At 39.3% G+C, this 26,412-nt stretch overlaps 2 protein-coding genes across 12 annotated transcripts in view, besides 2 other annotated features; one reads left to right on the top strand and one right to left on the bottom strand.

The window, feature by feature from the left end:
* Window positions 1-19,350, bottom strand: part of PDE3B (phosphodiesterase 3B) — a 255,518-nt gene extending 236,168 nt beyond the window's left edge. For all 11 annotated transcript variants that reach the window (NR_190763.1, NR_190764.1, NR_190766.1 and 8 more), the window contains exon 1: window positions 18,101-19,350. Coding sequence is in view for 7 of the 11 variants with exons in the window: in NM_001429700.1 (NP_001416629.1) it covers window positions 18,101-19,078 (978 nt within the window). In the remaining 4 variants the exon portion in view is untranslated. The remainder of the gene's footprint in view (window positions 1-18,100) is intronic.
* Window positions 1,320-1,499: a silencer, noted in NCBI's record as "fragment chr11:14683201-14683380 (GRCh37/hg19 assembly coordinates)". NCBI's record gives its function as "represses an EF-1alpha promoter that drives an FKBP-Casp9 reporter gene in an ReSE screen in HepG2 liver carcinoma cells {active_cell/tissue: HepG2}" and the evidence as "EXISTENCE:reporter gene assay evidence [ECO:0000049][PMID:32094911]".
* Window positions 19,099-19,498: a silencer, noted in NCBI's record as "silent region_3173". NCBI's record gives its function as "represses an Ori minimal core promoter by ATAC-STARR-seq in GM12878 lymphoblastoid cells {active_cell/tissue: GM12878}" and the evidence as "EXISTENCE:reporter gene assay evidence [ECO:0000049][PMID:35858748]".
* The window catches only part of PSMA1 (proteasome 20S subunit alpha 1), a 138,787-nt gene continuing 131,866 nt past the window's right edge, over window positions 19,492-26,412 (top strand). The window contains exon 1 of the mRNA NM_148976.3: window positions 19,492-19,699. The gene's annotated coding sequence lies outside the window, so the exon portion shown is untranslated. The remainder of the gene's footprint in view (window positions 19,700-26,412) is intronic.

The following is a 26,412-nucleotide window of genomic DNA, read 5'->3' as shown; positions in this document are numbered from 1 at the left end:
AATATTGGCCCCCACTCTCTTCTGGCTTGTAGAGTTTCTGCTGAGAGATCCGCTGTTAGTCTGATGGGCTTCCCTTTGTGGGTAACCCGACCTTTCTCTCTGGCTGCCCTTAACATTTTTTCCTTCATTTCAACTTTGGTGAATCTGACAATTATGTGTCTTGGAGTTGCTCTTCTCGAGGAGTATCTTTGTGGCGTTCTCTGTATTTCCTGAATCTGAATGTTGGCCTACCTTGCTAGATTGGGGAAGTTCTCCTAGATAATATCCTGCAGAGTGTTTTCCAACTTGGTTCCATTCTCCCCGTCACTTTCAGGTACACCAATCAGACGCAGATTTGGTCTTTTCACATAGTCCCATATTTCTTGGAGGCTTTGTTCGTTTCTTGTTATTCTCTTTTCTCTAAACTTCCCTTCTCGCTTCAGTTCATTCATTTCATCTTCCATCACTGATACCCTTTCTTCCAGTTGATCGCATCAGCTCCTAAGGCTTCTGCATTCTTCACGTAGTTCTCGAGCCTTGGCTTTCAGCTCCATCAGCTCCTTTAAGCACTTCTCTGTATTGGTTATTCTAGTTATACATTCGTCTAAATTTTTTTCAAAGTTTTCAACTTCTTTGCCTTTGGTTTGAATTTCTTCCTGTAGCTCAGAGTAGTTTCATTGTCTGAAGCCTTCTTCTCTCAACTCGTCAAAGTCATTCTCCGTCCAGCTTTGTTCCATTGCTAGTGAGGAGCTGAGTTCCTTTGGAGGAGGAGAGGCGTTCTGCTTTTTAGAGTTTCCAGTTTTTCTGCTCTGTTTTTTCCCCATCTTTGTGGTTTTATCTACTTCTGGTCTTTGATGATGGTGATGTACAGATGGGTTTTTGGTGTGGATGTCCTTTCTGTTTGTTAGTTTTCCTTCTAACAGACAGGACCCTCAGCTGCAGGTCTGTTGGAGTTTGCTAGAGGTGCACTCCAGACCCTGTTTGCCTGGGTAACAGCAGCGGTGGCTGCAGAACAGCGGATTTTTGTGAACCGTGAATGTTGCTGTCTGATCGTTCCTCTGGAAGTTTTGTCTCAGAGGAGTACCCGGCCGTGTGAAGTGTCAGTCTGCCCCTACTTGGGGGTGCCTCCCAGTTAGGCTGCTCGGGGGTCAGGGGTCAGGGACCCACTTGAGGAGGCAGTCTGCCCGTTCTCAGATCTCCAGCTGCGTGCTGGGAGAACCACTGCTCTCTTCAAAGCTGTCAGACAGGGACATTTAAGTCTGCAGAGGTTACTGCGTCTTTTTGTTTGTCTGTGCCCTGCCCCCAGAGGTGGAGCCTACAGAAGCAGGCAGGCCTCCTTGAACCGTGGTGGGTTCCACCCAGTTCGAGCTTACCTGCTGCTTTGTTTACCTAAGCAAGCCTCGGAAATGGCAGGCGCCCCTTCCCCAGCCTAACTGCCGCCTTGCAGTTTGATCTCAGACTGCTGTGCTAGCAATCAGTGAGACTCCGTGGGCTAGGACCCTCCGAGCCAGGTGCGGGATATAATCTTGTGGTGCGCCGTTTTTTAAGCCCGTCGGAAAAGCGCAGTATTAGGGTGGGAGTGACCCGATTTTCCAGGTGCCGTCTGTCACCCCTTTCTTTGACTAGGAAAGGGAACTCCCTGACCCCTTGCGCTTCCCGAGTGAGGCAATGCCTCACCCTGCTTCGGCTCGTGCACGGTGCGCTGCACCCACTGTCCTACGCCCACTGTCTGGCACTCCCTAGTGAGATGAACCCAGTACCTCAGATGGAAATGCAGAAATCAACCGTCTTTTGCGTCGCTCACGCTGGAAGCTGTAGACCGGAGCTGTTCCTATTCGGCCATCTCGACTATCCTCCTCTTAACCGCCACATTTTCTTAATCCAGTCTATCATTGTTGGACATTTGGCTTGGTTCCAAGTCTTTGCTATTGTGAATACTGCCACAATAAACATATGTGTGCATGTGTCTTTATAGCAGCATGATTTATAATCCTTTGGGTACATACCCAGTAATGGGATGGCTGGGTCAAATGGTATTTCTAGTTCTAGATCCCTGAGGAATCGTCACACTGTCTTCTACAATGGTTGAACTACTTATAGTCCCACCAACAGTGTAAAAGTGTTCCTATTTCTCCACATCCTCTCCAGCACCTGTTGTTTCCTGACTTTTTAATGACTGCCATTCTAACTGGTGTGAGATGGTATCTCATTGTGGTTTTGATTTGCATTTCTCTGATGGCCAGTGATGATGAGCATTTTTTCATGTGTTTTTTGGCTGCATAAATGTCTTCTTTTGAGAAGTGTCAAAACAGGCAAAAATTCTTATCTTCAGGATGCTTACATTCTCCTTTCTTGCTATTTAAATGTAAATATGTTATTTAACAAGAATTTATATTCTAAGGGTGATCAGCTAGCATTTAATCAGAAAGGCCACACTCCCGAAGCAGCTATTATAAGCACTTCAGAAGCTATTCCTATTAGCCCTAAAGACTAATGTAAGGCATATTAGAAATATAAGAAATATTAGAAAGAATAATATAAGGAATATTCTAGTATTAGAATATTAGAAGGGGCCAGGAATAGTGGCTCATGCCTGCAATCCCAGCACTCTGGGAGGCCAAGGTGGGCAGATGACTAGAGCTCAGGAGTTCAAGACCAGCGTGGGCAACACAGCAAAACCTCATCTCTACAAAATACAAAAAAAAAATAGCCAGGAATGGTGGCACGTGCCTGTAGCCCCAGCTACTCCAGAGGCTGAAGTGGGAGGATCGCTTGAGCCTGGGAGGCAGAGGTTGCAGTGAGCCGAGATCATGCCATTGCACTCCAGCCTGGGCAACAGGGCGAGACCCCACCTCAAAAAAAAAAAAAAAGAATATTAGAAGCAATAATATAAGGAATATTAGAAATAAGCTCTTGTCGTTGAAATTAGTGGCATTCAGTATGTGTGAACTCTCCTAAATATTTTGGGGATATTCCCCTCCCTTATAAACAGGGCATAAGATCTCGTAAACTCTACATCCTCTGTCTTCCAGAATGGCTCTTAGGGTTACAGCCAAGTCTGGAATTAATTTCGGAGGATTTTAATTGCCTAATGCTGACTATAAAGCTAACAATTATGCCTTCAGGGTATTGTTGCATCTGCCTAAAGAGAACCTTTTATGGAATGTGTGGGTGAACTATTTGGGGGAACACAGAACTGGGAGATCACTCAGTTTACCAAACAGATTGTATGAACTGCTTCTGCTGTGCCTGCTAATAATTTTGTCAAATACATGTTTACTAATTTTTAAAATGACAATCCTTACTTTTCAGAGAAATATATTATTTTCATCAAGATCTATTCAGGGTAAGCAGAAATAGGGGTAAACATAATAGAAATAGTCACAGCAAAAATGTGTTTGAATTAAAAAGATATTACTTGTAAAAAGATAAACTTCAGTTACCTGACAAAAATGTACTTGATGAGAACACATGACCACGTAGGGAGGAACAGCACACACTGGGGCCTACCGGAGTGGGAGGAGGGACAGGATGAGGAAAAATAACTAATGGGTACTAGGCTTAATACCTGGGTGGTGAAATAATCTGTACAACAAACTCCCATGACACAAGTTTACCTTTACAAACCTGCACATGTACCCCTGAACTTAAAGAAAAGTTTTTTTAAAAAATCACATTTCCAGAGTTTGCTAAATAATTATGACCAGTATTTTACTACCATCTTCTTCCTTGGTGAACTACTAAAATTAGTAAATTTATGTTAAAAATGAAGTTCTCCCTAGAAATCAAAAGTGCAGTCTAAGCACTGAAAATGTTCTATCAACACTTGTTAACTGAGAACCATTGAAACATCTAGGAATTTTTAACTCTGCAAGCCATATCTGAAAAAGTAATGTCAAAACTGTTTATAACCCTACTGCCTCACTATGACCTCACCTCAAATTATCATTCCATGCTCCTCCTTTATTTTAGAGGCAACTCCTGCACACAATGTCCTGCATTAGTTTCCATTCTCCCAACTTGCAACATTCTTCCAAGCTTCACCTATAAACTGAGGCATTCACCTAAGTAAGCTTCCCCTGCTGAAGAAGATTTTTGCTGGGTTTTGTGACATCAAGAACTTATTCCTTAGGCATCCTGTTCTTCAAGTTACTTTCAGTGATGAAATTATGAGTATTATGTATCAACTAGGAAAAAAATGTCCTGCGAAGTGATTTAAAAAAACAGTATTTAATCCAATAATCCAACTCAATAAACTATTTGATATATGCCAAGCACCAGGGTCACATAAATAAATAAGATACTGTCCCTGAATTTAAAGGACATAAAATGTAGAGACAGGAAAGGCCTATCAACCCAAATATGATAGAGAATATTAAGTGCAACAATAAATGCACAGAAATAAGTGACTTGATTTTGTCAAGAAAGAAACAAATGAACAAAGGCAGAATCTAGGCTCAGTTTTTAAATTATGTACATTCCATGCAACTATATAGACACTATAGTTACAAGAAAGGTGACATCTGGCGCGGTGGCTCATGCCTGTAATCTCAGCACTTTGGGAGGCCGAGGCGGGCGGATCACGAGGTCAAGAGTTCAAGACCAGCCTGGCCAACATGGCAAAACCCCCGTCTCTACTAAAAATACAAAAATTAGCTGGGAGTGTTGGCGCATGCCTGTAATCCCAGCTACTTGGGAGGGTGAGGCAGGAGAATCCTTGAACCCAGGAGACGGAGGTTGCAGTGAGCCGAGATAGTGCCATTGCACTTCAGCCTGGGCGACAAGAGCAGGACTCCATCTCAAAAAAAAAAGAAAGGCGACAAGCAAAAATTAAAATATATGTTGTCTAAAAGATGTCAGAATTTCAAATAGCTTTTTCTATTATCGTGTTGAGAGAGGCAATGCCTTTTTCTCAATCCTATGGCTTCTATGAGGAAGAACTGTTGCTAAATATTTTTGGACTCTCTCTACCCTTTCACTTATTTATCCCCTAGAAGGAGGATAGTGACTTACCTGACTGGTAAGTTTAGACTAAAGAATCATGTAAGCATAATTCTACCCCTTTTTTTGCTCTTGGAAGCCTACCCACTAGATGGAAGCAGAAGTTCTCCAATGCTTCTCCATGGATAGGCTCTCCAGGCAAACAGGGAAAATGTTCCTGGTCCTATTCTGCTAATGACCAGGGAAGTCTGTTTAACTCTGGGGTTTGGTATTAGAAAGCAAAACTATCTACTGATACAAGCCATGCCTTCGAATAACAGCTTTATCAGGAATACAGGTAGTATTCTGATATCTCATCTGTCACTCTCTTCTCAAAATTTGGGCAGGGAATTTGGGTGTTATTTTTTGAGACCTCTCAAACACTACAATATTAATTGCACTGCCTGTTTTATTATTTAAAATATAATCTTCACTTTTTATCTTACATTAAACTCCTAAGAATAATGACATTATGTGATTCTTTTTCATAGCCTTTATAGCTCCTAGCAGAATGCCCAGTAATGCTGCTGAAGAAATGAGTTTTCAGGTATTAAAGTTATTTGTAGATGGTGCATATTTTTACAACAAAAACAAACAAAAAATGACTTACATAATGATAAACACTGGTATTTAGTAATGTGTATGTAAGTATTTTCCCGTAAAGAAAAATATTTTCCCATATATTGGTAAAAATTCCTATCCATATTTATTTTTGTCTGCTTTTAACGATTACTATCTAACTGGTAGAAGCTCTTCAGGAGACTTTTTCTGAAAAGTGGAACAAAGTGTTACATTGAAGCAGTAAAGTAAAGTGACTAATACTGACTGGAGTGAAAAAGAGGGTTGGAAGAGTCACTTTTTTACATACAGTTTCTCTTCTTTCTGTTTCCGTATCTCTTATCTCCCTCTTACCATTCCTGGGGAGGTGCTGCATAGTTATCAACATGCTTAACAGACAGTGAACTGTGAAGGAAGAATTATGGGTAAAGACATTTGTTTGACTTCCCAGTGTACTCCCAACTCCAAAGTGACAAACTGGAACAAAAAGCTTATGGGACAGTAAATTATGACTGTAGCAGCTGACACATTTTTCTTCTGGAAGACCAAAGGTTCTTAATCTTTAACTCTGAAACTTTAAAAGAAAATAAATCCAAATTACCCCCCTTTTAATCACTTTTTAAATTACTCCTTGTATCTTTTCTTTGTTGTCCTAAATACTGACCACTGTTGAAAGAATTTCCCCTATATAATCCCTTATGGAAAGGATTTGCTTTTTTGCTTAATACCAGTCCCAAGAGAAGTATCGAGACAATAAAAACGGATTGTCTCATAGATCTAAATTTCAATTCGTTTTACCATTGATTTAGAGAAACTTGGCATAAACTATTAAATAATTCAAGGATGAGAATTTCAACTATTAATAGTAACAGCCATAACAACTAATCTGTTGAAAACTTGCCAGGTGCCAGACACTGTTCCAAGAACTTACAGGTTATTAATCCTCACAACATTTCATATCACATCTATTTCACATCAATAAGATAGGTACTGTGATTACCCCTAATTTATACACAGAGAAACTGGGGTACAGAGAAGTTAAACAACTTGTCCAACATTCTGTAAGTGGTAGAGATGACATTTAAACTCAAGCAGTCTAGCTTCACCACTGTGCAATAACTGTCTATTAAGGAAAATACCAAAGACAGTAGGAAATTGGGATCCATCTCCACCCACAGTTCTTTTCTTCACTAAAGGTTAACATGGAAACATTATAAGAAATGACAATAAGTATAAATATAATAACAGATATCCATTGTGAACTCCAAAATGTAAATGATAAATACAAAACAGAAATGCTTAGTTCTTACACTCAGGGAGTTTACATCCCATTTAGAGATGTAAAAGAGGTATCAACCATTCACATGTGAAAACTGGAACATGCATTAATCAATAGTCAAGCTCTTTAGCATTTCTCCCAAACCAGCTCATCTTCCAATGTTCCCTACATTAGCTAATGACACCAGTAAACTTTCAGTCACTAAGACTTTAAGCATCTTCATACCTCCTTTTTTCCAATCACCAGGGCTTTTCCACTCCCACTGTTCTCAGTCTCTCATATAAATGATTATAACGGGCTCCCTGCTCCCAATATTTTCATTCTCTGATCTACTTTTCCCATTGTCAATAATCTCTCTAAACTAAATAAAGAAAATGTCTCTTCTCTTCTGAAAATCTTCCAACATCTTCCACTGAATAAATCAAAAAGTTTAGGATGGCATTCAATATCTTCCATACATTACTCTCAACCAATCTTCCAGTCTTTTCCAGTAACATTCCCACACTAACTCTACACTCCTCACTTTACTAGCTTTCCATTCTGATTTCCACAACAATGTCATGAATTTTACCATCACATGGTTTACCAGTCTCAACGCCTGTCTCTACTTAATCAAGTCTTATATAATATGTCCTTCAAATGCCTCCTCTATAAAGACTTCCAATACACTCCCCCGAAAAACTGATCACTATTTGCCTTCCACAATGAGGTGCTCGACTGGAACACAGCAGTTACACAATTGTGTCTCATGGTGAGCTAGTCTGCACATCTGAGTCTACTAGATATAAACTCCTTAGGGATAGAACCATATCTTATTGATCTTTATATTTCCCCCACAGCACCTAGCACACTGAGATGCTCAAAAAAGGGGGCTAATAACTGAAAGGTAATTAAGACAGTATAAGAAGAGTATATTAATGTGATAGGAATGAATTAAAGGTATAAATAAAATATACAAAAGGAATGCTTTCTACTGTAGGTGAATTTGGAAATAATTATATGTGTGTGTATATATGTGTATGTATATATATAGACATAGACATTTATGTTATTAGGTATCTACAATTTTAAATTTTATCTTCTTGGTGAATTCAGTCTTTTATAATTACATAATGATCATCTTTTTCTCTAGCAAAGTGTTTTCCCAGTTTTTCTGATATTAATATTACCAGTTTTATTATAGTGTCTTGTGTCCTTTTTCCATTCTTTTATTTCCAACCTTGATAAATTCTTATGTTTGCAAAGAGTATACAGTCAGAAAATCCAAGTGGACAATCTTTATATTCTTTTAACAAAGTTTTTGCTTCTATATTTATTGTGATTCGTGGTAGTATCTAGATTTATTTCTATCATCTTTTTACATGCTTTAAGTATTTGTCCTGTTCGCCTAGGTTTCCTTTTTTGACCTCCTTTTTTCTCTGATATTAATTATTTGGTCTCCTTTTTTCCCTCAATTCTTTTGTCACCTCTATTTGTTTGGAAGCCATTCACACAATATCTACTCTTTCAGCAGTTGCACTAGCTCTGTGTGTGTGTGTGTGTGTGTGTGTGTGTGTGTGTGTGTGTGTGTAGACAGCTGCTGTGTATATATAAACAAGATTTAAAGTCAAACTCTTAGCCCTCCCCTTGAAATATAACTTTTTAACATACTCTTCTAATTTCTTCTTTCCAATGTAAATGCTATTGTTTTCTAGCACTTTAGTTCTAGTCTGTTCTCTTAGAAGACATTGTTAATAATGTCTTATAATAACAGTGTTTGTTTAGTTTTACCTATATTTATCATTAGTATACCTTCTTGATCTCATTCATTTCTTCTGCCTGAGTATGTACTTTCAGTGGTAAAAACTCCCTCAATTTTTCCTTTTCTAAAATTGTTTTAGCTTGCACTTTTCCTAGGGAGATAGTTTTGCGGGGCACTGATTTCTAGTTTGACACTTATTTTCTCTCAGCACCTGTCGGATGATATTCCACTGCTTTATGGATTCCACTGTGGCTACTAATAAGTCACCTTTCAGTAAAACTGCCATTCATTCTTTTGAAGGCCATTTCTCTTTTCTGAGTTCTTTTAGTAGTTATCTTTTTATTTAAGGTTCTGTAATTTTGCAATAATGTATGGGTTTCTTTTAATTTATTCTGCTTGAGATTCAGTGAGCTTTCTGGACAAAAACTTGGCATTTTTCATCAGTTCTTTAAAATGCTATTTTACAGACATTTTTTTCTAATATTTCTTCCTCTCCATTTTATTATCCCCTTTTCGAACTTCAATTAAGTCCAAGTTATACTTTACTTCTTATTCTCCAACTCTTCTGACCTATATAACTTTGTGTGTGTGTGTTTTGGGGTTTTGGGGGATTTTTCTTGAGACAGAGTCTCACTCTGTCACTCAGGCAGCAGTGCAGTGGTACAATCAGAGCTCACTGCAGCCTCGACCTCCCCAGCTCAGGTGATGCTCCCACATTAGCCTCCCAGGTAGCTGCGACTATAGGCATTCGCCACCATGCCTAGCTAATATTTTGTATCTTGTAGAGACAGGGTTTTGCCATGTTGCCCAGGCTGGTCTCGAACTTCTGGATTCAAGCCATCCACCCACCTCGGCCTCCCAAAGTGCTGAGATTACAAGCATGAACCACCACACTCGGCCAGCGACAGTTTTTTTAATCACCTGTCCCCCAATCATTTTTTTCAGGTTTCTATTTTATTTCTTTCATCATAATAAACGTGTTTTTATATTTCTTATATAATCCGAAGCTTTGGTGGGTGTGGTTTTTTTGTTGGTTTTTTTGGTTTTTTTTTGAGACGGAGTCTTGCTCTGTCGCCCAGGCTGGAGTGTAGTGGCATGATGTCGGCTCACTGCAAGCTTTGCCTCCCGGGTTCAAGCCATTCTCCTGCCTCAGCCTCCCGAGGGCGGATGTGTTTTTGTTGTGTACTTTTTCTTAGGTTCTTATTCATAGTGCCTTATTACCTTGCCTGATTTGTGGATTTTTGACTAGGCACTGCTGAATTTCCTTGGGATTTTATCTGTAGGAATTATTTGAGGCCTTGGAGAATCTGAATTTGCTTCTAACCATTGCCTTGGAACATTGCCAACCTGAGGCCAATTTAAATTTTTACGTGAGGTTTCTGAGTCTACATATGCAGCACTAATTTTAGGGATCAAAAACTAAGTTAAGACCCTGAAGATTCCACCAAAAAAAACCATTAGAACAAACAAATTCAGCAAAGCTGCAGTATATAAAAATCAACACATACAAATCAGTTGCATAGAGTTATATACTATAAATAATTCAAAAAGGAAATTAAGAAAACAGTTCTATCTGCAACAGCATTGAAAAGAATAAAATGCTCAGGAATAAACTTAACCATGGAGGTGAAAGACTCATACACTGAAAACTATGAAATATTGCTGAAATAAATTAATATACAAATAAATCAAAAGATATCCCATTTTCATGGATTAGAAAACCTATTATTGTTAAGATGCCAGTGCTACTAAAAGCAATCTACAGATTCAAGGCAATCTCTATCAAAATCCCAAAGATGATTATACTAAGTGAAATAAGCAAGTCACAAAAAAATACTGTATGATTCCACTTATATGAGGTATCTAAAGTCCTCAAATTCATTGAAACATAAAGTCAAACGGTGATTATCAGGGGACAGCGGAAGGGTAGTTGTTATTTAATGAGTATAGAGTGTCAGTTCTGCAAGATGGAAAAGATAGGGAGATCTGTTTCACAACAATGTGAATATACTTAACACCACTGAACTGTACACTTAAAAATAAAGAACAGAGTAAATTTTATGGTTTTTACCACAATAAAAAATAAACCCCAATGACATTTTTTGCAGAAACAGAAAAATTCATCCTAAAATTCATATTGGAATCTCAAAGGACACTCAAATAGCCAAAATAATCTTGAAAAAGAACAAAGTTTGAGGTCTCAAACTTCATGATTTCAAAACTTACTAAAAGATACAATAATCAAAACAGTGTGGTACTGACAGAAACACAGACGTATAGACCTATGACATAGAACAGAGAGCCTAGCAATAAATCCTCACATGTACTGTCAAATAATTTTCAACAAAGAAGCCAACACTTTGTTGAAAGGTTATTAACAGTTTTTTTCAACAAATGGTCTTAGAAAAATGTAACATCCACAGGCAAAAGAATAAAGTTGGACCATTACCTTACACTGTAATTATACAAAATTTTGTATACAAAAATTAACTCAAAATGAATCAAAGACCTAAATATTAGAACTAAAACTTTTATAAAACTCCTCAAAGAAAACACAGAATGAGAGCTTCATTACATTGAATTTGCAGTGATTTATTTGATATGACACCAAAATCATAGGCAACAAAAGAAAAAGTAGATAAACTTCATCAAAATTGAAAACTTTTGCACATCAATGGACACTATCAATACAGGATATTAAGTCTTATTAGAAAGCTATTATAACTAAGATAGTGTGGTATTAACACAAGATGCATAAACTAACAAATCAAACATAATAGAGCCCAGATACAGTCATACATATATTGAAATTTGATATAGGACAGAGGCAGCACTGATGAATGGAGAATAAATAAACTTTTCAATATAGTGTGTTGGCATGACTGGATATCCATTTGGATAAAAAATGAGATTGAATCTCTACATCACAACATACATATAAATCTAGAAATTAGAAAAATGCAGATTACAATCACAAAGAAATGCCATTTCATACCCACTAGACTAGCCAAACTTAAAAGTCAGTAAATAGGAAGCACTGGTTGATAAGAATGTGGATCCAGGGGCATTCTTACTCACTGATAGCAAAAATATAAATGTATCAATTTATATTCAGCATCCATTTTGAAAAACAATTCAATTTTACGTAGCTTTAGTTTTCTGTTTCTACCTACATGGGCTGAATTGTATCGCCCCAAAAAAATATGTTGAGTCCTAATCCTCAGTACCTCAGAATGTAATCTTATTAGGAAATAAGGTCTCTACGGGGATAATCAGGGTGGACCCCAATCCAATATGACCTGGATCCTTAGAAGATTAGAAAATTTGGAAACAAAGACAGGTACAGGGAAAGACTATGTGAACATACAGGGAGAATGCCATGCGAAGATGAAGAATGAGATCAGCGTGATGCATCTGCAAGCCAAAGATTGCCAGTAAACCACCAGAAGCTAGGAGAAAGACATGGAACAGATTCTCCCTCACAGCCTTCAAAAGGAACCAACCCTGGAGATAACTTGATCTTGGACTTCTGGCCTCCAGAACTTGAGACAATTCATTTCTGCTGTTCAAGCCACCTAGTTTGTGCTACTTTGTCATGGCAGCCCTAGCAAACTAGTATGCTCCTGTAACAAATTATCGCAAATTCAAAGGCATAAAATAACACAAATGTATCTCGTAGGTCTGCAAGTCAGAAGTCTGATATAGGTCTCACTAAGCTAAACCAAGGTGCTGGTGGGGCTTCAATACTTTCTGGGAGCTCTAGGGAAAAAATCTACTTCCTTACCTTTTTCATCTTCTTAGAGGCTGCCTGCTTTCCTTGGCTCAGGGTCCCCTTCTTTCATCACCAAAGCTAGCAAAGATGGGTTGAGTAATCTCGGCTCACTGCAAGCTCCGCCTCCCGGGTTCAAGCCATTCTCCGGCCTCAGCCTCCCAAGGGTGGATGTGTATCACACTGTATTACTCCAACCCTGCTTCCACTGTCAAATCTTCTCTAATCTCTTCTGCCTCTCTCTTCTACTTTTTAAGGACCCTCATGATTACACTGCACCCACTCAGATAATCCTGGATAATATCTTCATCTCAAAATCCTTAAACCCATCTCCAAAGTCCATTTTGCCACATAAGGTAACATATTCTCAAATGTGGACATCTTTGGCCAAGGTGGGCAGATGGCTAGAGCCCAGGAGTTTGAGACATGCCTGGGCAACACAGCGAAACCCCTTCTCTACAAAAAAAAGATACAAAAATTAGCTGGGCATGATGGCACGCACTGCAGTCCCACCTAGTCAGGAGGCTGAGGTGGGAGGATTACTTGAGCCTGCAAGGCAGAGTTTGCAGTGAGGCAAGATTGCACATCACTGCACCCTAGCCTGGGCAACAGAGTGAGACCCTGTCTCAAAAAAAAAAAAAAAAAACATTGCTGAATGCAAGTTGTATGAAATGTAAGGAAGAGGTGGCCAAAGAACGTGCTGTAGCAGATGGAGGAGGAGAAATCTGTAAAGTTATCTGCTAGGTAAATCAATGCCAGAAGGAAAGTTGTTGGTTGTAAAAGAAAAAAAAAAAAGTGGGAGATACACTCTTCTGCCCCAAGTTCTAAGAACAGGCTTATAACAACAACCTAAATAAGTGCAGATCAGCTTGTAAATAACAAGATGAACAACAAGTCAATGTTATAAACTGTCAGGAACCACCCACAGACAGAACCCAGTTCTTCCAAAATGTTGTTTAGCTAACAGTTTTTCAGTTTCTTTTGTTTAAACTGAATGCCTTTAAGCGAAGCAGGCAATAGTCAGTTCACTTCCATTCTTCCTACTCTCCTTTTGACCCTCCCCTCTGTCTTCAACATATAAAATAAATGTTATGTAGGTACATGAGTTTGCGACCAGCTGCATCCTTACAAATTACTCTGAAATAACTGTATCAGAAGTTTGTCATCAAGGTCATTACAAACTATAGGATTTTCAAGAGTCCCTCTTAACTGACTCTCTCTCACTTCTTGCCTACCTCCTTTAACCAGAGACACTGCCTTTTTTCACATAATTGGAGATACCTGGCAAAATTAAGTACAGCCTTGGAAGGCTATGATGGGAAGTATATATGCTCCTTGTGGAAAGTAAAAGTGGACTAGGAGTAAAGACCTAGGTTCTAGTCCCCGTTTTCCAAATATCTCACAGAATAACCCTCAGCCAGTATTTTTATCTCTCTGGAGTTCAATTTATTTTCCTTGTACAATATATAATGAGCAGATTTCAATTAGATTAGATAAACTCTGAACCTGTCCTATATTTTATATATCTATACCAACATTTATACTGAAATAGGCTTTTTCGGCAAGAATAAATTTTTGCTTTGAATGGGGTACAGAAGGCTTAGAAGAGTGTGCTAGGGAAATAAGCTGACTTGGTAATTGAAAGGGAAAAGAGAAAGAATGAGAGAAGGGCCTGCCACTGAGGAGGACAGAGTCTGATGACAATGAAAAACAAACTTTATGCTTTTACTTATGGTTACCTTCTACTAAGTGTATAAAAACAAATTATGGAGATGTGACTATCTAATGCACTATAATGGAAATACTCATCAGCACTGTTTCATATGGTTTGTCAACTTTTATTTTTAAATATGGCCCATTCTGCTATAATTTGTTCTCAGCTTATACATAAATTTGAGTATCAGTGCACTGCCTAAAGTCTTCCTAATCTTATTTGTTCCTTAAAGGAGATTTCAACAAGTGGAGATGTTAAAATCAAAAGAGAAAAACCCACAACAATGTCAATAACAAGAAGCAGCCCTCAAATAGCTAGAATGCATGTGGAGAGGGAGTGTCCCATTAGTAATAAAATGCTTTTTAAAAAAATAAAACAAAAAATGGCAGAGTGCAGATTATGAAGGACTTTGCAAGCAAGGGTCAAGGGCATGAACAGTATCCTGTGGACAATGAAAAGCCATAAGAGATTTTTAAAACAGAGTGACTCTATCAAATCTGTGTTTTTGAAAAATAATACTCATGGCAGAGTACATACTATATTTACAAAATAAAGTATAAAATTATTATGTAGGCTGATATTTTACCACAAAATAGTAACATGAAATTGGAATAAAACACTCACTCACTGAAGCCATAAAATAAATTTCACAAATACTACAGTATTCTTAAAGAAATTAACAGGGAATTATGCCTTGCAAATTCCTTAGGTGAGTAAATAACCACACTTTAAAAAAAACTCTCTTTTTTAGGCTCTCACACTACATATGTATACCTTTTTCAAATAAAATTAAAACTTTAAGTAATATTTATGGGCATTAGGGCCACGGAATTTTTAAATATTTACCTAACCATTTAGAAAGCACTTAGCACTAAAGGTATAGAAAAATATCTCACACACTAACTTATGCCTTTCAAAACCTTGTATTTACCTAGTCAAACACAAAGTGATCTCATTGAAAAGCTGAAAATTGCACTGTAGAATATGCAATTAAAATGGCATAGAAATGTAGCTTGTTTAATTCTGATTAAAGCTTCTATGCAGACGACTGATTTTTTTAAACTTCCTATTAGTTTCTGCTGATTCTTGGCAGATAAGACTACAAACTCAGTGCTTCTTTCCATTAACCCACCAAAGCAGAACACCATTAACAGCACCTAGATTTGGGCTTCAAATCTCTAAATGCTTTGCCAAAAAAAAAAAAAAACCTTAGTTAAGAACTGAACTGATACATATATAGCATTTAAATCAAATATTATAAATCTAATTATAAAATCAAATGTTTTACAAACATGCCATTATTTTTCAACACAGTAATATAACATCCCAAAAGTTAAAAACTACTTTAAATCTATTATTCTACAATTAAAAACATTTCTATTGATAGAAGTTTAAGTGGCTTTCAAAGAGGTTAATAAAAATGTTTAAATTCTTAAGGAAATGAACATGTAATAATTTTGTTACCATCCTACAAATGAACCCCCATATACTTTTTTAAAGTCCTATCCAAAATATACAGGATATTTGCTCATCTTTTTCAATTATTATACCTTGGAAAGTATAGGTTAGCAAGGTCAACATTCAACATTTAAGTAAAACTTCAAGAACTACTAGTTTGTGACATCTTATTTTATTTTAATTTCTACCTTACCAAAAGTGTAAACTAAAAGAATTTAATTTTAGAATTAGAAGGTATTATATAATTTAATTTTAGAATTAGAAGATATTACAGAATTCATCTACTAGGATCCCTTAATTTGACAGGATACTAAGATTCAGAAAGGTTCACAGACTTTTCCAAAATTAAACAGTTAAGCCAAGACTCCTCAATCCTCTGTCTATGAATCCAGGACATTTTCTCCTATGTCAGGTCCCATCTAAAATCTTTTCATCTTCCTTCACCTTCTGAAACAAGCAAGTGTTTTTACCATTGTCATATACAACACTTTGAAAATCAGAAAATCTCCTGATCTTTTACTTCCATAAAAGTACTGATTTCCTCTCAATATATTTAACATAATATACATGCAAACAAAAAGCACAAATCCACTGTTAGACTTCTGGAACAAGCATAAATAAACATTCTTGTTATGATAGTATCTGCTAAGTTAAAAATACCCTTTTCTAGTAATGTCAAAATAGAATTATTTTGTAGACAGAATATTAGGTAGGCATGTATAAACCCTGAACTATTCACATATACTTTAAGTGTGCAAAAATGTTCCTATTAGAAGTAGAATGTGAATAAGGGTTTTCTGCACTAAGAAATTACACCCTCTTTAGAAGCACAAATTGTATTTTCCTCTAATATAAACAATAATTGAAGCTACCTGGTATAGCTATATACATATATAGCTATGCTGTGATGGAAAGAGCACCACACTAGGATTAAGAAGCCTAGAAATTTTCCACTTACAAGAGGACAGACAGAATTACCGCACCAACAAATTACAATTAAAATATGTTAAACTGTAACTGTTAAGTTCAGGAAAATTGCCCACAAAAGTGATGAAACTGCTAAAACAATTTTCCAGTGTTAAAAAATGCAATTTGTTCACATTTGGTCAAAATTCAATTAATTCCATTCTATGAAAATAGTTGATACCACTTTGTTCCATAATAAATCCTCTCAAAACAATTTTTCTCCCGACACACATTTTCCTAAAGTACTATCTATTATCACTGGTAGTAAACTGAGAAAACAAAAGGCATAACAGAACTTTTTCAAGTGGTTGACCACAGAAGTGGCCTCTGAAGCCAAATCAAGAAGCAAAGTATTGTGTCATTGGAACATTACAGATCAGTGTTCAACACGTCATAAAACCAATGTAGTAGCTTGGAGATTATTTCGAAGAGAAGACAGACAAGAAGTGAAGGAAGAGAACAGAAAAGAAGAGAGAAGAATGCATCAAATGCATTAAGGACAAGAAACTTTTGTCTCCAACATATTGGCTCCCAGTGTAAAGCATATCACTAATCCAAAAATTCAGAAAACCTAGGGTGTACGCTCTTACTCTCCTACTTAAAACCACTATACTTACCAGTTAGTCGTGCAGAACACAGCACTGAAAACTCAAAAATCTAATCAAATCCCAGAACTACCACTTAACTAGACATGTGAAGCTGTGTTACCTCTATATGCCTAGATTTCTCATCTCTAGAGGTTAATGGCACCAGCCAAACACCGTTCTTGTGAGGATCTGAGACAGTATGTGTAAAATGTTTTGCACTTCATAAATGCTCAATAATAGTAACTATACTTATTAAGTTTCTTGGTGATGTACAACAGGTAGCTTTTCCAATACTATATAAAGATGTAAACTCATTTGCTAATGATTTCAATCCCTTTTAAAAAAAAAACAAAAATATGTAAACCTATGGTGAAAAAATGGAAATGCTTTTGGCATCTTTCCAGGAATTACCAAGTTTAAAGTTTAAACTGTTAAAACAGTCTCCTAATTATGCAACAAATACAAAGAACATTGAATTAATCTGTAAAATATTATATTCACCTATACTGCTGTCTTTTCATCTAAATTACTCTCATTTGCAAAGCTCATGTCTTGTAACGATAAAATCTCAGATTTTTCCTCTCGATTTTCAATAACGAAACCACACTGATTAAAACTCATAGATGTATCCTCTCATTCTAAAGGCTGTATGTTATTTTTGGGTAGGCATCATTATAACAGCAAACAGATAAATGGCACCAAAAAGACACATATCAGAGGATGCCAAAAGCGGGAGTAGTCAATCTATTCAACCACAAATGATTCACCTCATTCTTCTGCGAACTCATCTATTGCATATACAGTCCTTAAAAAGTGCCATGTGATTAGCGGGCTATTTGATTTCTATTCAATGACAAAAGCTACTTGCTTCTGCATTTTTAAAAGGCTTCCTGTATTTTAAGAATCCTTTCCAGAATAAAACATTATTTCCTCCCCCCCCCCCCCCGCAACACACCCTTTTTCCATTCTGAAAGTTAACATGCTTTGAAATAAGCGAATTCAACTCGGAAACTGCAGCGGTAAACCCGAACCCGCTCGCGTCCCAGACCTCGCCTTCCAGCTAACATACCTGTTCTCTGGAAATACAAGGCAACGACGGTCTCCTGAATATTTTGCAACTGCCATAGTAACTGGCTGCAGTTTCTCCTAACGACACGCAGCTGGACCTCCTCCGGGGTCGGATCACAGGCACTTTTTCTTCGGCGGCACTGGACAGTCGAGGATGAAGAGGCGCTTCCCTGATTTGAAAGAAGTGATCCAACCCCAGGGCCAGCAGGCAGCCAGCGCCCCCCACCAGGCCGGAGAGCAGCGGCCTGAGGGCGGAGGGCAGCGACCCGAGGCTGGTGAAGGAGACCCACCAGACGAAGCTGGCCAGGAGCAGCACCAGAACGCAGTGCCGGAGCCGCAGCGGGTGCGCGAGCGTCAGCAGCAGCCCTACGCAGCTCAGCACCAGCAGCAACCTGCCCGCTGCCGCCTCCGGGGGCGTGTGCGGGGCCGCGGACCCTGCGTCGCCATCCCCCCAAGGCCAAGACCACCACTGCCACACCAAGAAGTCCCCCAGGTAACAGCAGGCGGGCAGCGCCAGCAGCCACCAGGAGCCGCAGCTCCGGCCCGGGCCGGGTCCCCGCTTGGTCCGGGTGAGGAAGCAGGTGAGGAAGAAGAAGGCACAGGCGATGCTGAAGAGGGGGCTCAAGCTGTGCGAACACACGCTCAGCAGCGTCCGCAGCCAGGCGGCCCCGGCAGCCCAGCTCTCGGGTTCCGCGCCCAGCAGCAGGGCGAGGACAAAGGCAGCCAGGGCGCCCAGCGAGAGGCGCGCCCGGCAGAAGGGGGAGCAGCGCCGCGGCTGCTGGGGAGAGGCCGGCGGCGGCCGCAGCTCCACGTTGCAGAAGCGGCAGAGGTGGAAGAAGAAGCCGCGCGGAGGGTCCTGCCGCAAGGGGCTCACGCAGCTCTTCACGTAGCCGTTCCTCAGACTCTCGGGGGGCGAGCCGGCCCCATCCGGCGGCTGCAGGGACCGCATGGCTTTGGCGTCTCGCTCGTCCCTCCTCATGGCTGGGGCCGGGGGTGGCCACGGGACTCAGCACACCCCGCTCGTACCGTAGCGGCCGCTCGCGCTCCCAGACCCCAACCCCCGCGTTCGGGGCGCCCCCTGGTTCGCAACCCGTCAGGGCTGCGCCGGCCGCCACGGCCCGGGGTCCCCACCGCGCGGACTGAGGAGCGGCGGAGTCCGGGACATGCTGGCTGAGGAGAGGGGCGGAAGGGGCTTCTCTCCAGGACCAGTTTAGCTGCCGCCTCCTTTTCCCTCGGGCACCTCTCGGGACTGGAGACTCAGTGTCGCCTCCCACCTCCGCTGGCTGCAACAGTTACCTCACGGCCCCAGCCTGGTCCGTTGGGCGCGCGAGCGGCGGGCGGGCGCTCCTCCCCCGCGACTGCCCCGGCCGGGCGCGCGCCCAGCGCGCGCTCACGACTTGTCCCGCCGCCACCCGCGCCGCGGCCGCCCAACAGGGACGCGAGCCGGGACCACGCCGACCCAGCGTGCCCAGGCCGAGGAAAGCGCGGCGGCGGCAGTCCGAAGACCCACCGGGACTGAAAGAGAAGGACGAGGTCATCTTCGGACGGGAGGGGCAAGCCAGCCATCCTGGGACCCCAGGCGTGCAGGTTCTCTTTGAGGGTAAGTCACGGACACCCAGCCAGAATCCCACAGGTCACTACTGGGGTCTTCGGGAAAGAGGGCGTTTGTGGTCCCCAAGGGGTGTGCTTAGTGGGGATGCTGAGCTAAGGGTGGGAGGGGAGGGGCGCTGTCTCTAACCTTAGTCCCTTTCAGGGTGGGTCTTCAGACTGTGACCAGTTTAGGGCCAGCCACCACCAAGGCCATGGCGAAGAAACCCTAATCGCTGTGGCTAGATCTAGCCTCAGAAGCAACGTGGATTCTTGGGCCACGCAGCAGGCCCAGGATCCTTGCAGTGGCTCTTAGGGAGGAACGTGCACGTGGAGTGCACTCTAGTAGCACTCCACGTGCACGTTCTTGAGTGTTGCTCAAGAACCATCTTCACAGGCGAAGAACTAACGTCTCGCCTTCCATTTTGTACCCTTGTCATACATATCCGCCGGTTCACAACTTGTATCCCCTTCCACACAGCACAGATTTGCTGTCGCAATTGGTCTTTGCAAATTGAAGGCTTTTTCACTGTAACAGCACTTTCTAGATGGGGGAGCGGAGAGAACTAGGAATCCTCTCCAAGACCACTCCCCAGTTTGGATCAGCAGGCCTTGAAGGAAGCCGAATAAGATGCTATCTGTGAAGTACTGGTGAAACTAGCAACATTAGGAAACACAGACCTGAAAGCGAGAAGAAAAGAACTTTACTACACCAAAGGGACTGCTCTGGAATCTAACCAATCATAACTGCCTTAGAGAGTGAACTGTGTTTCCCTCCCTAAGCTCTCGCTTCAACCTCATGACCGGACTGCATTTCTCAAAGAGCTAATTCCACATTTTTCCAGGCAGATGAGAAACCTTACTGTGTGGTAAATCCCACAAACAGGCCCATTTTTCACCAATTAATCTCTGCCCACAGTCATGACCTAAAACAGACCATTTTCGTATATGGTCATAGTTCACATGCATAGCAAAAGGCACTAAGAAATTAGCACAAGAATTTAACCAAAATGAAAAAGTTCCAGAATTCCCTTTCCTTTGCTTTTCCTTTTCTAATGTATTACCCAAATGCTTGTCCTAAAAGATAAAAATTCAAAAGGTCATTTTATCCCCATGACAAGAAAAAAAATGCTCATTTCAGCAAAACTCAGCAAATGTATTTTTTATATGATGTGCATAGAACTCATTACCACCAGTTGAAGATTAAAGTAAAAAATGGATACATTTTGAGTTTGTACAGAAGGGCGTGACAAAACTAGCACCAGCATTATTGAAATTCCCGTTATAAATTCCATAGGAAATAATAAATTGATTTGAAAATTAGAACAAATTCAGATTAACAGGTGTGTGTGTGTGCATGTGCGTGTATGTGTGTGGGCATTTAATCTGAAGTTATCATCTAAAGTAGGATTGGCACGTGATCATGGAAACGGTAGGGAGTAGAAATCCAGTTTTGTGAGTTTTTGTCTGGGCCTAGCCATTCATACTCTGCCATTAAGCAATCCTATAACTTTTACTGGCCTTGTTCTTCTCAAATGTGAAATGAAGCAATTAATTTAGATAACCTTTGAAATCCTTTCTAGTCTTAAAAAGCTCTGATTTCTGTATGCCAAAAATACATAGGCATCCTTAAGACTCACCTTTCAGGTTGCCAATAATATAATAAGAGCAAGAGCCAAGAGCAACCTTTTATATTATTTATACTACCAAACTAAACCAAAGTCTCAGTGTTGACAAGTAAAAATAAAGGGATTGTGTCAAATGACTGTTTTCTGAAAAATAAAATCCAAAGCCCTCTTCACAAAATCGTCTTCAAGATTCTCTAGCCGCCTTTTAGCTGTCATTCAGGTTTTTATAAGGCTACAAGCCCAACTCTTTCAATAACCCATAGTCGGAGTGCATCCCTCTGAAGGCCAACCTAGCACCTGAGAGAATTCTAAAATAAAGTGTAAGGACGTGACCAAAGACCATCAGAAGTTTACTTAACTAAAAATATGCACAAAAAGAATGAGCTAGCTATGTTTATAGTAACTCCCTTCTCTGTTTACAGTCTTTGTCAAAGATTATTACTAGGCCACATTTCTTAGAGGTCAGATTATTTAATTATTCCCTTGCCAAACTTAAACAACCAATAAAATTACTTAGTTCTTTAGGTTCAAGAATTTATGACCATTATCTGTCATGAAAAAAACTGAAGTCACAGTATACCTTTGACTTTTCCCAGCACTTTACCCCATCCTTATTTTACCTGACTTTGCCTTCCCTCACGTCTTTTTTTTTTTTAATTATTATTATACTTTAAGTTCTGGGATACATGTGCAGAACGTACAGGTTTGTTACATAGGTATACACGTGCCGTGGTGGTTTGCTGCACCCATCAAGGCGTCATCTACATTAGGTGCCTTCCCTCACGTTTTGACCCATCATCTCTCCACTCCTTAGTGGATCTCTCCACTCTCCTGGTTTACCATGACATGGGATCCTGGCTGTTACCACCCTGCTCCCAAGTCATTTTAGGACAATGCAAGCCCCTGGGTATTTCTTTTTTTCTAATTTCTCAGGATAAAGTGGTCTGACACATTTTAAATATCAAAGAAACTCAGAAATAGGCAGTAAATTAACCAGTATCATTGAGATTCCAAATTTATAAAACTAGAGTCATCCCTGAAGATACATGCAAAACCTTATAAGGTTTTTCAAAGAATTAAATAATTAACATTTACGACCTTATATTTAAAAACAAAAATGGACAAGCTTTTCTCTAGCATAGAAAGGATCATTGTTTTCTGTGTGCAGTAGCGACTCTGTTGCCCAAGTATGTTAACAATACCTATGTTCCTTCCAGCTAATACTCATCTCAGAATCTGAGCCTCATTTTGACTCATTCTTTTAGTTCTTTTCAACAAGTAGCTATTTAGTGCCCACTATATGCCGAGATTTGTACTAAATGCTATTTAGAACATTTTTTAAAACTATAACAGGTCCTTCAGAGTTTTCTCAGAGCTGCAGCTTTATCTGGGAGATAGAATGTCTGCACATAGACTATTAAATAGCACAAAAGAATAAATATGTGATTAAGAACTGTTGAGAACAATGTGTTAGGACTATTAAAACAGAAGAAAATCATTTTCTTCTAGGGTGCCCCCACTGTGTAATTGTTTCAGCTTGTTCTCAGTTTCTCATTCTTCTAGTTCCATTTCTCTCTCTTACAGTCTTCCTTCTTTCTCTCCCCAGCATCTGTCCAGATGGCTGTCTTCTGATCTCTCTCCTCTTTCCCCCGACCTCTCTCTTTCAACTCTGTATTATATTCCCTAACTTCTTTTACTTCTCCTACGTACCATCCCCCCTCTACCAGCATTTAATCTATCTCCATTAATGAATGCATTCATTCATTCAGTATTTATTATGTGCCCGGTGTGCTGGACACTGTGCTAGATGACAAAGATATAATGGTGAAGATGTGGTTCCTTAGTCTAATGAAAGCAAGACAGTAAGAAGACTATTACAGCCCGTTGTAACAGGAGCTGTGATACAGAGGTAATAATCCTCAGTGTACTCTGGGATCTCAGGAGCCCAGACTACAGTAGGAGTAGCAGGTAAGGAGTAATGCTCTGGAGGACTCAGAGAAAGTGATTTCTAGGCTTGATATTAAAAGGTGAATATAAGTTACCTAAGTAAAGTAAGTAGAAAAGATAATCTGGGCAAAGGAAGCAAGCAGTGCAAAAATCTGGAGGAATTCAGCTATAGTGCATTTGGATAACTCAAGTATCCTATGGCTTAAGTGTAAGGTATGATGGGACTACAGAGATGGTGTGGCCCTACTAATGGAACTGGAGTTTGTTATTATTTGTTACATAAAGGTTTATGTTCTGTTATCATATTTGCTTATTTACATGGCTAGCTCTGCAATATATTCTTCAAACAAGAATTCTCTCTTATTCAATCTTAGCTCAATCTTCATGCCTATAGCAAGTACTTAGCCTACAGCAAGTCCTCAGAATTTTTCAAGTGTGTTGATATTTCTCAAAACTATTTTAATAAATCAGACTTTAACTGTATTTCCTTTGATTTTTGGCTTTATTAGTCAATGAATTTTAATAGAAAACTCTTAAAATAGAATATAATAGAAAAAACTTTTCATATTGTGATTTTAAAATATTTTTCTTAACATTCATTTGCACCAAATCACTAAAAGAACCCTTTTTCCTAGATTTACAAAAACAAAATTACACATATGTTTATGTCGTATTTCACTTTCAACATAAAATAAATGTTTCAGAGATGTGTGGGTCATTTTTTATTTTAACTCAAGTGACAGTACCTGAATTCTTTGGCTGTGAAAGCATATATTCTAGTACTTTTAAGAATTTTCCTCTTTCCGTTTCAAGTTTTCAGAGCAACAATTGTATCTCTGACACAAATTTACTATTATACTTTTAAAATATAACAATTGGTAAAAGTATTAAATCTATAACGCTTACCCAGAAATTTCCTGGATTTTTTATTATAAATCTAAAAACTGAAACTTGAACAATAAACAGCAATGCAGACTCTTTCCAAGTTTTCTTGTTCCCTCCCTAGACAAGCAGGAGTTTCTTCAGCTCTGGCTATCCCAGCAGATCTGAAGGATCACAGCCACGACGGTGGCAGCCTACCGTTGACACTGAACTTGTGGTTAATTGTGGAGTTCTGCCACAAAACCACCTCACTACCACAAACTGGATACTTGCCCAGGAAAGTGACAAACTGCCAGGCCAAGCAATCTACAGGAGGCAGCAAAAGCAAACTGCCTTTTCCCCCAGAAAGCAGTCATTTCTGGATTCCAAATGGAGCCAACAAGCAGAGCGCACCAAAAAAAAAAAAAAAAAAAAAAAAAAAAAAATATATATATATATATATATATATATATATATATATATATAGAGAGAGAGAGAGAGAGAGAGAGAGAGAGAGAGAGAGAGGTGTGTTTCTCCACTAAGCCAACTTAAAATGTATTCATGCAGTTTTGCAAGAGGAGCTCAAAAGGATTCATCTAGTTCATTAGCATCATCAAAAAGTGTAAGACTATTCTTTTCTTAAAAAATTTTTATTAAGCATGGAATTAGAAATAAATTGCAGTTATATTACTATTAACTGCTAAGTGAAACACCTACATATTATCATTGCAAATAGGAGTAAATAATGTGACTTCGTGTGTGTTACTAAGCTGCGCACAGCAGCACAGCAGCTCTGGGAACTTCATTTGAAAGGCCAGGTAGCACGATGTGAAGGAAGGAAACTTTAGCGTCATTCTGATCTAGTTACCATTTGTAGCTACATGACCTTGGAGGTTACTTAAAGTCTCATGTTACCTACCTCATCTGTGAAATGGGGATAACAATGTCTACCTCTTAAAGAGTTGCTGTGGATTAAATTAAATTACACGTGTAAGGTAACTAACAATGAGTAGATGCTTAGTAAATGTAAATTAGTTTATTTTTCTTACATCTATCCTTTTCCTTATCCTCCCACATCCCTTCAGGACTTCACAGGACTCTGTTAATTCTGAGTTTTTCCAAGGAGACCTCCAGATTATATTGTCTGTTCAACTCTTTTTAAGCCTTACTTTCAATATTATTTTATTCAACTAAGTCTGCCTTTTTACTATACAATCAAGTAAATAGCTCTCTTTCTTCAAAAAGCAAATGCTACAGGGATGTTAATGCCTCTGTTCTAATTACTATAAATGCAGAAATGTTTTATATATTAAATTTTAAGGAATGCATACATAATATTATCTTAATTTCATGGCCCTACATATCTTAGATCTCATTCTGCAGAAAAGATGTTGATTTAGGGCCTATATGTTGTAACATGGAGAAACAGAAAAAAAAAATTAAGCCGTAACCAATTTCATTCATATTAGCATTAAACATAGGGAAGACAAAAAAAGATTTATGTTTGCAAATGTATTCATTTATTCAGCATGTACTTGATGCTACTCAGATACTAAAGGTACAAATATGAATAAGACACGGTCCCTGTCCTCAGTTTGGTAAAGGAGAAAATAAGTAAACAAATGCAGTACAGTGCAAAATGCTCTAACAGAGTTCTTACCAGGTACAGTGATAGGACATGGAGTAGTTCACAGATGAAGAGATACTAACCTAGGTATTGAAGAATAGGAGCTTCCCAGGTGGACAAGGAGGAGGGAGAGTATTCCATACAAAGAACAGTATTGCAAAGCCATGGAGGCATGAGACATCATGGGCATTTCTGGAACTTTAAACAGATTGGTATGATTTGTGGGGGAGGGAAGATGGGAATGGGAAAATGAGACTGGATAGATAGGTGGAAGCCAAATCATGGGAATCCCTATAGGCCATTCTGAGAAACCTGGACTTTATTCTGTAGGTGGTAAGGAACTGTTAAGTTTTAAAGGAGGGAGAAGCCATGATCAATTTTTATTGTATTTAATTGTTTTTCAAAACCCAATGCTGGTATTGAATGAAGGTTAGTTTGAAAGAATGTAAGACCAAAGCTAGGAAAATCGTTTAAGAAACCATTATAATTGGCCAAATGAAAGATAAAGTTCTGTAAGGCAATGGCAGTAGTACCATTTGGAAAGGAAGAATTAATTGAATTAATAACAGCTATAAAACTTTCTGATCAGTTCCATAGAATTGGAATGTGCAGAAAAGGAGACTGTGAAGAGGGTTCCCCAGGTCTAGCCTAGGTGACTAGAAT

This window comes from Homo sapiens, chromosome 11 (genome assembly GCF_000001405.40).
Source record: "Homo sapiens chromosome 11, GRCh38.p14 Primary Assembly".
NCBI classification, from domain to species: domain Eukaryota; kingdom Metazoa; phylum Chordata; class Mammalia; order Primates; family Hominidae; genus Homo; species Homo sapiens.
Note: the sequence above shows the minus strand (reverse complement) of the source record. Positions and strands in the feature narration are given on the sequence as shown.